This window comes from Homo sapiens, chromosome 17, assembly GCF_000001405.40.
Source record: "Homo sapiens chromosome 17, GRCh38.p14 Primary Assembly".
Taxonomy (NCBI): Eukaryota; Metazoa; Chordata; class Mammalia; order Primates; family Hominidae; genus Homo; species Homo sapiens.
This window is the reverse complement of record NC_000017.11, coordinates 45,756,520-45,771,292: the sequence shown is the minus strand read 5'-3', so window position 1 is coordinate 45,771,292 and position 14,773 is coordinate 45,756,520. Positions and strand designations below refer to the sequence as shown.

The 14,773-nt window shown below is 49.7% G+C and overlaps 1 protein-coding gene across 2 annotated transcripts in view, besides 2 other annotated features; it reads right to left on the bottom strand.

Annotated features, from left to right (window-relative positions):
* The window catches only part of LINC02210-CRHR1 (LINC02210-CRHR1 readthrough), a 215,483-nt gene that overhangs the window by 64,536 nt on the left and 136,174 nt on the right, over nt 1-14,773 (bottom strand). The gene's annotated exons all lie outside the window — the stretch shown is intronic.
* Nucleotides 7,999-8,499: an enhancer, noted in NCBI's record as "H3K4me1 hESC enhancer chr17:43840160-43840660 (GRCh37/hg19 assembly coordinates)". NCBI's record gives its function as "activates a minimal SCP1, AML or CMV promoter by ChIP-STARR-seq in primed H9 embryonic stem cells {active_cell/tissue: H9 hESC(primed)}" and the evidence as "EXISTENCE:reporter gene assay evidence [ECO:0000049][PMID:30033119]".
* Nucleotides 13,017-13,517: an enhancer, noted in NCBI's record as "H3K4me1 hESC enhancer chr17:43835142-43835642 (GRCh37/hg19 assembly coordinates)". NCBI's record gives its function as "activates a minimal SCP1, AML or CMV promoter by ChIP-STARR-seq in primed H9 embryonic stem cells {active_cell/tissue: H9 hESC(primed)}" and the evidence as "EXISTENCE:reporter gene assay evidence [ECO:0000049][PMID:30033119]".

The following is a 14,773-nucleotide window of genomic DNA, read 5'->3' as shown; positions in this document are numbered from 1 at the left end:
CTGCAGACCCCCTCATATCCCGTCATATCCTGCCACCCGCTGTCACCATCACAGCCACCCTGACCACCTTCCTTCCCCAAAACGTCCCCTCCCTGCTGATCGATCTCCACCTCTCTTCCAGCCTCCCTTCCTCCCTGTCTCTGCCCCTCCCCCTCAGCTCAGCCGCAGGATTTCTGCTCCACTGTGAATTGCAGAATCCCTAAGCCCTGGGAAAGCCCAGCCCCACTAATGAGCTAAAGCTGACCTTGTCTCCAGGCCGCAGCAGCTGAATGTATTAACCCCTCACTCCAGCAGAGACCTCATTGACTTCCAAACCACTTTTGCATCATTGTGCAGTCAGTCCAATGGAGCCGTTTATTGGGCACCTACTATAGACAAGGCCCTTGGGGCAGGGTGGGGGGTGCTGGGGACAAGGTCCTTTCACTTGTGGAGCTGCAACCTTGCAGGAATAGCTATAGCATCAGCGGCTCTGTGACAGAGGAAAGGTCGCTGCTGTGAATCAAGGACACTGGACTGTGGTCCGAGTCTGGCCACCAACTGGCTGCATGACCTTGATCCAGTCCCTTCCTCCCTCTGGACCTTGGTACTTCTATCTGCAAATAAGGGGTCGAACTTGTTCAGTATTTTCCAAACTGCAGTTTGCAACCCATTACAGGATGGGGAGATAAATTTAGTGTCAGAACCAACATTCGAAGAAAGAAAAAAACTTTAAGCAACTGCATCAGAACACGGCACACAATAGAGGTAAGTATTACACAAAGAAACTTATTGGGCTGACACGGTGGCTCACACCTGCAACCCCAGAGCAGTTTGGAAGGTCGAGGTGGGCAGATCGCTTGAGCTCAGGAGTTCAAGACCAGCCTGGGTAATGTTGTGAAATCCCATCTCTGCAAAAATATAAAAATTAGCCAGTCATGATGGTGCATGCCTGTAGTCCGAGCTACTTGAGAGCTCAAGCAGGAGGATCGCTTGAGCTCAGGAGATTGAGGCTGCAGTGAGTTGAGATTGTGCCACTGCACTCCAGCCTGGGTGACAGAGTGAGGCCCTGTCTCAAAAACAAACAAACAAACAAACAAACAAACAAACAAAAAGAAACAAAAAAACTTCTTTTGGCTGCACATCTCTTGTACATGTTTCCACAGGTACCTGCATGTATGTGTACGTGTGTCTATTTGTGTCTATGGTTGAGTGTGGACTATATGTATATGCACATGTGTTTTATGCACTTGTGTGTCTCTGTGTGTGTGTGTGTGTGTGCTGGGTCACAACAGAGTGGATTTCTTACGATGAGTCACAGTCAAAATATCTTGGGAAACGCTGTTGTACATGGTCCCTAAGATTCTTCTGGTTCCAAAACTACATCGTTTCAAATGCTGTTAGAAGAGGGACACTGAGGGGCTCATTCTAGCCACGGGATAGGGAAAACTTCATCAAAGAGTTGGTGGCACTTGTACTTTCTTTTTTTTCTTTTTTCTTTTTTTTTTTTTTGAGACGGAGTCTCGCTCTGTCGCCCAGGCTGGAGGGCAGTGGCGCCATCTCGGCTCACTGCAAGCTCCACCTACCGGGTTCACGCCATTCTCCTGCCTCAGCCTCCGGAGTAGCTGGGACTACAGGCACCCGCCACCACACCTGGCTAATTTTTTGTATTTTTAGTAGAAATGGGGTTTCACCGTGTTAGCCAGGATGGTCTCAATCTCCTGACCTTGCGATCCGCCTGCCTCGGCCTCCCAGAGTGCTGAGATTACAGGTGTGAGCCACTGCACCCGGTCCATTTGTACTTTAAAAGATGAGCAGGATTTCTACCAACATAGAAATGTAGGGGACAGAGGGGAGAGAGACAGAGGGGAGAAGGGGCAACAGCATTCCAGGTGGAGGCACCATTGTGAGCAAAGGCCGGGAGGTGGGACTGTGCTCCGTCTGTTTGGGGAACAGCGAGGAGTCCTAGGACCCCAGGACAGGGGATGACGTTCTGAGATTGGAAAGCTGGGCTGGGGCCACGTCTTGTGGCGGCCCATGGCTTCCACTTGGGGGATTTCCACAGGGATGGTGGGAAGCCAGGTAAGGCTTTTGATATCCCAACAGCCCCAGGAGGAACCCCAGACTCCATGCTTCCCCCTGTCTCCCAGGAAAGGACTTCTAGACTAAGGTATGACTGATTGACAAGACTTCATGAACCACCTGTTTCATAGGGGTGGTGGGTGATTTATTATTGGCAAGTGGTTCTAAGGCAGAGGGTCTGACATAGGGCTGGGCTGCTTCTCTGTACGTGCTGACCACTGCTCTGCGAGGGGGGTTGCACACCCACGTGTCAGCATTTCAGAGACTTTGACGCATGTGAGCATACTTGGGACAGAGTACTTGCCATTGTGAGGCTCACCATGCCTGAGGATCTAGACAGAAACAGATCAACTTATTGAATCCTTCGTTTGCAGATGAGGCAGCCGAAATCCAGAGATGTGACTGGCCCAAGGAGTCACAGTGGGCGAGAACTTATTCCTCAGGCCATTAGATTCCCTAATGCTGCACCTTCGGGCCCCTTTGTGCTGCTGCTGGACGGGTGGGGATGCGAGAGGGTGCTGAAGAGGTGGTATTGGGAGGCCTCAGGAGGTGGCTGCCTACTCAAAAAGCCTTACTTGCTTTAAAACAGCTCAGGCCGGCTCCCGTCCCCCACAGAAGACCCCCACTCCCTACCCTGCGGGCAATTCCTTGACAGTCACATTAGTGAAGGCTGGGTTAACCCTTGATGCTCTGCCCTCCAGCACCAGGGCAGGACCTGGACACCAGGGTCATTCCCTCCCTGGCACCTATGGAGACTGGATGCTGAGGAGGGAAAGGTGAAGCCACAGCCAACTATTTTTAGTTCAAGAATTGGTTGCCAGGAACACTGAGCCGACTCCCTGCTGTATATTAGGGATGCGACAGCAGCGGTGTTGTTTGCAGGGTCTAATTGTGGGGATTTATTGTAACATGCAACTTGTCAGCCACTGCTCTGCCTAGGGCCCAGTCTCCTTGTCATCGGAATCTGAGCTATTTCCCAACTCCCTGGGTGCAGGGGAAGGAAATGGGGCAGAGAAGGAGCAGGAGTGTGCCCAGGGACCCTGGACAGCTCACAGCTGACCTTGCACCAAGAGTCGCTCTGCCCAGGAGGGGGCAGAGAGGAGAAAAGTGATGAGACTGGATTGGAAGCAAAGAGAGAGGGCCTGGGGCTGCCCATTGTTGGGCCCACAGGACTCAACCTTGACTTTCCTTGGGGCTTCAGATCTGGAAGAGGCTCAGTGGGAACAAGCTGAGAGCTTTTTCTCTTGTGCATGACAGTAGCATAGGAGGGCACCGGCCTGGGTAACAGCGGAGAGTTTTCAGTTAGATGGAAGGAGGACCTCCTTGACTTGAGGGTGGTCCTCCTTCCACCCTCAAGTCAAGGGTGGCAAGGAGGGGACAGTGTCTGGTCTCAGCAGTGGCAGTGGTCATCCTTCTGCCAAGGGAGGGGGAGAGATATGCAGACACCTAGCAAAGCCTACTATGTGCTGGGCACACTGTGCAGCACCCCGATGCAACCTTATTTAATCCTTTGCAAAGGGGGCCTCTGTCTCCATTGCGTAGATGAGGAAACTGAGGCTCGGGTAGATATTCACCTAAGGTCTCATAGCAGTAAGGAGGCTACAGCTGGGATTTTTACCCGAAAGTGTCCAACTTCAGAGCTCTGCTCACCAACCATTATTGACTAGGACCCCAGGAACTGGAAGGAGGGGTCATCTTTCCCCTTGTTCCTGCATGCCTGGAATTCTGGGACAAAAAGACATTCAGCCAGCCAGCCAACAAACGCGCCAGGTACTGCGCCAGGCCCCTGGAATATAGGTACCCACCCAGGAAGAGCTGATGTGAAAAGGTCATTTCTTCCAGCCTCCTGCCTCATCTCCTCCTCTCCAAAAACCGTGGTCTGCATTTCAAATCACTCGAGAAAGGAAGGGCTGCAACTGTCCTTCTTCCCTTAAATAGTCAGGACTATTTAAGAAGCTTCTGATGTCTCAGGTAGGGGATAGGGGAAGGACGGCTTGGACTCTCAGCATCTTGGGGGAAGGCTGGACTCAGGCCTACTTTAATTATTTAGAAACCCTGGAGTAATGATGCAGAACCACCTTATGGGAGTGGTAAATGAGAAAGAGAAGGTTGAAAGCTGCCAGCCATGGGTTCAACTTTCCCGAGACAAGCTAAAATTGGACTGATCATTATAGCAGGCACCCAGGTATATGATTATTCTTCATAATTTTTTTTAGTTGCATAGACTACATTTTAAATAGATAATGCAAACTTGCACATGATGCAAAAATCAAAAGGTGCATAGGAAATATCCTGAAAATCTCCCTCCCTTCCCCACTCCCAGCCACCTAATTCCTCTCTCCACAGGCTCCAAGGTTATCAGTTTCTTGGTAGATTTGCAGAGATCGTCGATCCAATAAGTAAGCAATTACGGCTATATATTCTTTTTGTTTTATACAAACGTGCTCTTCTATACCTTGCTTTTTTTCCCACTTAGCAATTTATCTTGGAGATTGTTCCAAATCAGTCCATAAAGAGTAGCCCCCTCCATTCCTTTTTAATGATTGCATAATATTCTGCCAGTTGAATGAACCCTGATCTGCCGAACTCATCCCCAGCGATGGGCATTTAGGTGTTTTCAATCTTTGGCTCTTAAAAGTAGTGCTGCCATAAATAACCTCATTCATAGATCATATGGCATATGAAAGGTTATATTTATGGCATAAATTCCCAGAAGTGGAGCTGCTGGCCCGTGAACACGTACATTTATAATTTTGATACTTATTGCTGAATCTTTCTCCAAATAGATTGCACCAATTTATACTGTCTTGAGTTTCCCCAGAAGCAGGACCTGTGAAAAAGATTCAAGGGCAGGTTGTTTATTTGGGAGGTAATCCCAGGAGGTCCCAGTAGGGAGGTGGGGAAGGCGGGCAGGGGAGGGAGGAAAGCCTGATGACTGGACCTTAATCCCATTGAGGAGCTCAGGGAGGCATGTGGGACCCCCAGCTCAGAGTCATCCCAGTGGAGGGCACGAGGGTAGGGCACTGGTGACATCTGCCATCCCCTCCTCTAGAAACATAGGGATCCCTGTTGCCCCACACCTTCACATTGGGAAAATCTGATCATCCTTCCCCCCACACCCCTCCCTGGGCCCCATCTCACCCCAGTGCATGGACAGCCTGTGAAGGGGGCTGCCCACCCCACAGCCCCGCCCCAGGCTGGCACCGATCACTCTGCCCCTGCAGGGTCCCTCCTAGCTGCTAAGCCCTGGGGAAGGTAGAGAGGCACATCTAGGGTCACAAGACCCTAAACGCCCTAAAAGGAAACTACCTGTGGCACAACCTTTGTGCCCGTCACCACCCACCCTCCAGGCATCACACAAAACATGCCCCCTCCAGAATTGTTTAACCGATCGAACATAAGATTCCGCCCTTGTCCCCCAGAAGCCACACCCTGCATGTGAACTCCATGTAGAGACAAGGCCACACTCACTGGGGGCACAGACATAGATGCTAGGAACCAACCCAGGCTGGGGCGAAGGCTCTGCAGGTGGGCAGAAGCAGGTCTAGGGGTGGTGTTGGCCCTCGGGGCCCCAGGACCCTCTTCCAGCTCCCTACATCTGCTTTCCCCACCCTGTCCCCACCAGGTTGGTTCAGAGCTCCAGGCTCCCCCTCCCCAAGGCCCATGAGGAAGACTTGGGAGAAGTGGGTCCTTTAGGGGTCAGCCCTGGCCTCCTTGCTGACTAGGTTCTCTGTGGCCTCCTCTCATCTTCAAGATGCTATCCCTCCACCTACCTTATTTAACTGAGGGCTACTGTCCTCACTAGGGAACTAGCAGTCAGCTTATTTAACTGAGGGCTACTGCCCTCACTAGGGCACTAGCAGTCCGCTTATTGAACTGAGGGCTACTGTCCTCACTAGGGCACTAGCAGTCAGAGACACAGAAGAATAAGAGAAAGCACAATCCTCTATGCAACTAGGCTCAGGGCAGGACCCTAGTTAGGGCCTATTAGCCCTTAAAGCAAACCTGCAGCTGCCAGTAACATAAATGTGGTGTTAATGTAGGAACAGAAATGGCCACCCTGACATCTGCTTAACCAAGGTGAGGTATTAGCTACAGTTTATCCCTACCTGAGTCCTTTCTTTACTCGACTGTTAACAGAAATGCTGAGAGAAAACCCAGCAATTGTGGCAGCCAGCTCAGGGTCAGGGAGCTGGAACCTAGGCTGGCACACACCACTGCCAAGCTTCGCTGGTGAACCCTGGGGCCAGGCCTGGTGGCTGCCTAGGTCTTAGTTTACTTCTTTATAAAATAAAGATCTTGGACTAATTCAGCTGATAAATGTGTTTTGAGGACCTATTACATGCCAGATGCTAGGGAAACAGTTGAGCAGCACATAATTCCTGCCCTCAAAGAGTTTTCTGTCTGGCAGGGATGGGCACAACCAGCCAACTCCATGTGAAGGAAACAGAATAAAGTGGTGTATAAGGGTCATGGAGGCACAGATAAAGATACTAGTTAATTCTCCCTGGGGGAAAAGTAGGGAAACACCACTCAGTGCCAAGGGCATTTGAAGTGGGCTTCAAAGGGTGAGTAGGAGTTTTCAAGAGAGACCTCAATGACCCCTTCAATCTTCCAGTGTGAATATTCTATTCTCTAGTCCACAGCAACATTTTTAAACTGCACTGTACAAAACTTTAGTATCTTCAGGATGCAAAGTAAGTGCTCTTAATTAAAAAAAGAAAAAGTTACATGATGGTAGAGGTTTGGGAAGCAGTGAGTCAAAATCAAATAGGTGTCCTTGCTGCAGGACTCCTCAGAGCGGCTCTTACCTGGAAGCCCCATCTCCCCTCAAGGCAGAGCAGAGCTGGACAGGAAGAGGAGCCCAGACCAGGAGAACACAGACTACCTCCACCTTTTCTCCCTCCCTCCCTCTTCCCTCTTCCTTCCTTTCCTCCCTGTCTTCTTTCCCTCCATTTAGCCATATACCCATCCATCCATCCATCCATCCATCCATCCATCCATCCATCCATCCATCATCTGTTACTACAAAGGGCCTTGAGTCCCTCCTCTGTACCAGTCACTGTATAATTAACAAGATGTCTGTTGCTAATGAAAGATTCCTTCCGGCCAGGCGTGGTGGCTCACGCCTGTAATCCTAACACTTTGGGAGGCCAAGGTGGGAGGATCACTTGAGCCCAGGAGTTGGAGACCAGCCTGGGCAACATAGTGAGACCTTGTCTCTTAAAAGAAAAAAAAAAAAAAGATTTTTTCCTTTCCTTCCTGCCCCCATGATTTCTTTCTTTCTTCTCCCTTTATTCATTCCTTCTCCCCCTCACCTTCTCTAACTTTCTGGTCCCTGTCTCTCATTGGCATGCTCTGAGTGCTCATTACATCCAAATTCCAGCTCTGTCCCTCCTAAGGGGACTCGGCACAAGGACTTTCATGGGGAGCTTGATGCCCACTGCACTTGGTACACCAAGGAGAGCAGACAGGGGTAGGCTGCTCTGTTCTGAGGATAAGCCTTCTGGCAATTCAGTGCTCAGAAAGATGGAATGAAGGAGCAGGGACACAGGTGGACCCCGAGAAGGAAGTTAAACACCACCATGTGCTTACTATGTGCCGAGCACAGATTAGGCCTGCTGCGTATACCAGGTAATTTCCTTGGTCCCAAAATGCAGGGAAAAGAGTGTTATTGTCTAGATTATTACCTATGAGGAACCTGAGGCTCAGAGAGGTTATGCAATGGGTCCAAGGCCACACAGGAATGAATGGAGACCAGAGGCTATTGACCCCAAAGTGCCTGCTTCTTGGAGGAGTGACACTGATGTAGTGATGGAGGGAGGCGGCAATGGGCTGGCCTGCTGGGGAGGCCCTTGACCTGAGGCCAAAGACGAGTGAGTCTACAGGCGGCTGGTCTGGCTGGGTCTGGGGCTAGCCGCCAGGATGGAGCACAGAGCCGAGACGGGAGGTGGGAAGGGGCTGCTGAACAAAGCTGCTGGTAAGAGGAGCAGGGAGGCTGGCTTCCCAGAAGTGGCTCATCAGATGCCCACGGACAAAGGCTTCTGGCTAAGGGAGTGGAAGGAACACCTGGGAAAAGGCACCGAGACTGTGCATTGAAAGCTTATCTGCTTTATCTGCTGCAGGTTATGTTGTGTGTATTGATTTTCTCTTAATAAAATCCATTCCGATTTTTTTAAAAAAAGAATAATGACAATGGATGCCTGTGGAGACAGGAACCTGGGCAGAAATTGTTTAGTATTGGGCACAGCCCCTGGGAGGAAGGGGCGGCCCCTCCCCCCGGGGGGAGGAGGGCACTGTGGGTGGGTGAGCAGGCATGAAAAAGACACAGGGGCCAGAAAGGCAGAGCGGAGGTCTTCAGACTTCAGTCTCTGCCACTTCTTCGCTCCCATGAGCCCCCCTGAGTGGGAGCAGAGGCTTCTTCCCTCGGCCATGCCTCTGCTGGGACGTCTGCATGGACTCCAGGCTTCCCTTGGGTTACCCACCTTCCCCTGCCTGGTGCTGGGGCCTTTCCTTCACTGCCTGGCAGCTATTAGACCTGGGGAAGCCACATCACCTGTCTGATGCTTACCTTTCTTTCAAACCGGGATAATAACACTTTGTGGATGCCTTTGCCTACTCCATAGGAAGTTGTGATAACAGTTTAATTTAAAAAAAAAAGAAAAAAGCATTTTGCAGAATCTAAGTCTCCCCCAGGGGCAAGGGAGGAGGATGAAAGGCCGTTGATACCCACCACTTTGCAGAACAGCCCTTCTCCCCAGTCAGATGCCCCCTCACTCACACGTGCCTCCTCCCTCTCCTTCGCACTGGTCCTCATCCTACCCATGTTCTGTTCTGGAAACAGGGGTGGAATTGGCAAGGTGGGACAGTGCCCTAGAGGGGCTGGCTAGTTTCTCTCTGGCCACCTGTCTGTAAATCAAGTAGCTACCACCACAGAGCCTGAGCCAGGGGAGAGTCGATTCTTCAGGAACAGGTAACTGAACTGTGACAATTTACCCACTGCTATTCTTAAACAGATTTTTTTTTCTCATAAAGCAGAGACTTGTTAAAATAATGATACAAACACTTATCTAACTCCTCTCTTTTGCCCATTAAATTTAAGACAAGATCTCATTGGAAGTGATATTTAATGTAACCCAGATCTCTGAGTACAGATGGGGACCTTCCATCCAATAAAAACTGTTATAAATCTCTGCTTAACTCAATTCTGGCTTTTCCCTCAGCCTCTCTGGAAATCCTTTAGTTGTCAAAATTCATGGTTCTGGACCTATCCATAAACATTTGCAAACCATTTGCAATTTTTCTTTTTTAAAGGCCTTTTTGCAGACCTCTCCCCTGCCATGCCGACGGAGCCATTGACTTCTAACGATCTAGGCAGGACCTCACCTGCCTCCTCTGCACCTTGCTGATTCTTTCTTCCCAGGAAGAATTTGGCCTTTAAAAAAAAAAATTAAATAATCATGTATCTGAAAGATCCATCATCCCAGGTATAGTCTCCTTTTAATCAAGAACACTCTCAGGTCCGTGTGATGGCTTCCTGTAAACAAGGCCCAAACCGCTTGTGCAGGGATGGACTGTTCTGCTTTGCCAGGTCTCTCGCACCACACTTTTTCTTTTTGAGACAGAGTCTCGCTCTGTCACCGAGGCTGAAGTGCAGTGGTGTAATCTCGGCTCACTGCAACGTCCGCCTCCTGGGTTCAAGTGATTCTCCTGCCTCAGCCTCCTGAGTAGGTGGGACTACAAGTGCATGCTACCATGCCTGGCTAATTTTTGTATTTTTAGTAGAGATGGGGTTTTGCCATGTTGTCCAGGCTGGTCTCGAACTCCCGGCCTCAGGTGATCCACCCGCCTTGGCCTCCCAAAGTGCTGAGATTATAGGCGTGAGCCACCACCGGCCCAGCCTCACCAGACTACCCTCACGCCGTTGCCTCTTGTGTGCCTCTGCCCTGGAATGCCCCTCCCCATCATGCCTTCTTCAAGGCTCAGAAAAACATCACTTCCTGCACAGAGCTTTCCAGAACTCGACAACTTAGCATGAATTTCCTGTTGCGTCCCTTGACACTCTGCCAGTGATGTGGCTGAGGCATGAGCTGGTGCGGTGGCTCACACTTGTAATCCCAGCACTTTGGGAGGCCCAGGCAGACGGATCACCTGAGGTCTGGAGTTCGAGACCAGCCTGACCAACATGGGGAAACCCCATCTCTACTAAAAATACAAAATTAGCTGGGTGTGGTGGCACATGCCTGAAATCCCAGCTACTTGGGAGGCTGAGGCAGGAGAATTGCTTGAATCCAGGAGACGGAGGTTGTAGTGAGCCAAGATTGCGCCATTGCACTCCAGCCTGGGCAACAAGAGTGAAACTCCGTCACAAAAAAATAAAAATAAAGGCTGGGCACAGTGGCTCACACCTGTAATCCCAGCACTTTGGGAGGCTGAGGTGGGCAGATCACGAGGTCAGGAGATCGAGACCATCTGGCTAACATGGTGAAGTCCCGTCTCTACTAAAAATATAAAGAAAATTAGCTGGGTGTGGTAGCGGGCTCCTGTAGTCCCAGCTACTCGCGAGGCTGAGGCAGGAGAACTGCTTGAACCTTGGAGGCGGAGCTTGCAGTGAGCAGAGATCGCGCCACTGTACTCCAGCCTGGGTGACAGAGTGAGACTCCATCTCAAAAAATAACATGACATAACATAACGTAACGTAACGTAACGTAACGTAACGTAACGTAACATAAAAATAAATATGAGCCATGTAATCAGCCTGGTGGATGCCAAGGGCTGCCCATATGTCAGCTAATTGCAATGGCCCTGGCTATAGATATTTGTCTACCTGTGTTTCTCCCACTAGACCCTGAGCCCCTCAAAGACATGGGCCATGCCTCATTCATCTTGCAGCACAGCATCCATCAGGACAGCTCAGGGCCAACCTTAGCCATACAGCCTTCTTTGAATGTTCCAACCCTCCTGGTCCTTTCTGTTTCTCGAAACCCCAGTAGCATTCATTCTACCCCTCTGTATTCATTAGGATTATGTTTAGGTACACATAATAGAAAATCAAAATAGTGTGGCTTGAAGGAGATCACAGTTTGTTTCTCTTTCATGCGTCCCAGCAGGTAATTAAGAGATAATAGGGTGTGTCAACTTTAGGATCTCACATGTTATTGCTCTGCCAAGTGTGACTCCAACTTCATGATCCAAAATGGCAGCACCCATGCTCCTGGCAGCCAATGGAGGAATAGACAGACACTGTCGCTTAAGGAAGGTTCTGGAGGCTTTCACAGGACCTTACCACTTATAGCCATTGGTCAGAACTTAGCCATATGGCCATACCTACCTGCAAAGGATGTTGGGAAATGTAGTGTCTAATCTGGGCAGCCATGTACTCAGCTAAAAGGGGAAAGCTGGGTACAGTGGCTCATGCCTGCAATCCCAGCTACTTCGGGGCTGAGGCAGGAGGATTGCTTGAGGCCAGGAGTTTGAGATCAGCCTGGGTAACATAGCAATCTCTAAAAATAAGTAAATAAAAAGGGGGGAGAATGAATACTGGGGAACTACCAATGTCTACCATCCCCACACAATTTAACACTTAGTTTTCCTCTTCCTTTTTAAACAATTTTTAAAAATTTATTAGGATAACACACAATTCACCATCTTAACCATTTTCAAGCGTATAGTTCAGTAGCATCAAGTACATTCGCATTGTTGTGCAACCACCTCCAGAACGCTTTGTATTTTTTTGAAATAGGGTCTTACTCCACTGCCCAGGCTGCAGCCTTGACCTCCTAGGCTCAAGCAATCCCTCCACCTCAGCCTCCCAAGTAGCTGGGACTATAGGCACAAGCCACCACCCCCAACCAATTTTTGTTGTTTTTGTTTGTTTGTTTTTTGAGACAGAGTCTTGCTCTGTCACCCAGGCTGGAGTGCAGTGGCGTGGTCTTGGCTCACCGTAACCTCCTCCTCCTGGGTTCAAGCGATTCTCCTGCCTCAGCCTCCCTAGTAGCTGGGATTACAGGCGGGTGCCACCACACCCAGCTATTTTTTTGTATTTTTAGTAGAGACGGGGTTTCACCGTGTTAGCCAGGATGGAAATCTTACTTTCCAAACAGTTCCCCTGCTGATTCCACTGCAGTCAGCCCGACACCGGGAACCACTAGAATACGGAGGAAGGAGTCTGTGGACCTGAACAGCCCTAGCTCTAACGTCAATTCCAGCACTTGTTTGCTGTGAAACCTTGGCCAAGTTACTTAACCTCTCCGAGCCTCATACCAATACCTGCCTTATAATGTGGTAGTGAGAATTACATAAAATGATGCATAGAAACTTTTTAGCACAGTGTCTGGCATGCCCAGACCCTAATAAATAGGGAGCTGATGTTGCAGTTATTATATCAATAATAATTATTATTACACCAACATTAATATCAGTAATTACATCAATAATTATTACATCAAAAATATCAATAATTATTACATCAATAATTATCATATCAATAATTTATGTAAATATTATATATAGATATTATAATTGTATATATTATTATAGCAATAATAATAATTATTATTATTACTCAAACGCCTGGAACAGCCCACTCTGAGGACTGTAGTTCTGATGGTCCTGGTGCTGCTATCAGGCAAGGCCCTTAGAGTGTCTCAAGTTGAAAGCCAGCTAGATAAAAGACAGCAATGAGGCTATTTGCTAGATGCTGGGCTCAGTGATAGTTAAAGGTCCAGGGAGACCAGGGAGATGAAAGAAAGGGACTCGCCGTGTTAGTGCCATTACCCCACCGCAGCAACATCTGCCACAAGCGCTTACCCTGAGTACTCCAGCCACCGCCAACCAGTAGCTGTCTGCAGCAGCAGCAGAGGTTGACAGAAACTTCAGCGCAGGGAAGTCGTATGGAGGAGTCCCTCTGGGCTGGAGCAGGGTCCAGCTGGCACTGCCCCAGAGCCCTGCTCCTGGCTGGGAGGGAGAGGAAGTCAGTCCCTGGAGCAATGTCCAAAGTGATGGCAAGAAGGAAAGCCATGCTGGGCCTAAGAGATATTCCACGCAGTCTTAGGTCTCAGCGCCAATGTTGCCTCCTCTGGGCTGAGTTCCGGGCTTCCCTGCACATTCCACTTCCACGGCAGCACTGGCCTTTCTGCTCTGATAGTTCCCTGGTCTGCCATCACCACTGGAGGACAGTGACTTAACCAACCTCCGCTAGCACCGCTTCACGCTCGATCTTATACACCTGCTTCACTGGCCTCCTTTCCATTCCTCAAACCTACGGAGCTGTTCCCGGCCCTGGGGCCTTTGCACTTGCTGTGCTCTCTCCTGGTTCCTGGCTCTTTCTCTTTACTCTTCAGGTCCTAGAGAGCCCTCCCTGCATTGCCCCTGTCCAAAGGAAGCTGCCCAACTGCTCTTCATCACAGCACCCTGTGTATTTCCTTCATAGCACCTTCACAATCCAGAACCATCTTGCTTATTTATCTATTTACCTGCTTATTGTCTGTCTCCCATGGAGAGGAACGTGTGAGCTCTATGGAGGTAGGAATATCTGTCCTGTTCATCTCAGTGCCTGGTGTGGAGCAGGAGCTCGATGCCTCCTATTGAACAATTTGATTTTCTAGTCATCTCAGTCCTTGGCCTGGCACGGTGCCAGGAACCTAAGAGCTGCCTAAGAAATGTTTATTAAATGAAGAAATGATACCATCAGCCATTCCTGCATTGGATCACTACCAGGAATCTTCTCTTTCTTTTCTTTTTTTTTTTTTTTTTGAGACTGAGTCTTGCTCTGTTGCCCAGGCTGGAGTACAGTGGCACAATCTCGGCTCACTGCAAGCTCCACCTCCTGGGTTCACGCCATTCACCTGCCTCAGCCTCCCAAGTAGCTGGGACTACAGGCACCTGCCACCACGCCTGGCTAATTTTTTGTATTTTTAGTAGAGACAGGTTTTACCGTTTTAGCCAGGATGGTCTCGATCTCCTGACCTCGTGATCTGCCCGCCTTGGCCTCCCAAAGTGCTGGGATTACAGGTGTGAGCCACTGCACCTGGCCCAGGAATCTTCTTAGAGTGATCCTAGAGCTAGAAATCCATCTGTTCAACAATATGTATGGAACTACTCTATGCCTGGCCCTGAGCTAGGCTCAGAGGATGCAGCAGATATCAGGACTGAAACAGAGTCCATTCATGGTCTACATTACAGAGGCGAGGAGGTCAGGTGGAGAGAGGGATTTTTGGGGAGGTGAGTGTAGACACTCTCAACACCTTCTTTTCCTCCCATCCTTTCCCTGAATTCAGAGATGCTCTCCATGCCATCATCCTCCCGGGTTGTGTTTGTGGGTTTGCTGGCAGGGGGTTGAATGTTGGACGAGAAGTCGGAGGAAATTGCTCTTCGCTGGCAGATCAAAGCCGTGAAGCTCAGAAACAAAGCCTCTCCCCTCTCCCCATCCCTGTCCCTCTGCTTCCACCCACCGACAGCCAAGACAGCCTGCAATCAGGCACCTTCATTATGAAGACTGATGTTACCAGACAGGGATCTGAGCAAGGTTTTGCTGTGTCTGATTTTGATGGTAGTAATTTAGAGCTCTTGGTAACTAGATCAACACAGCTCCGTTACTCCCCACCAATCACCAGGTTTGTGGCAAAAGGTTTCTGAGAGGGCCTGGAATTCATTGGTCCTGGGGACCTGGGATTGCCAGCTGAATGAGATGGCCAGAGCCCAGGAGTGGGCTCCC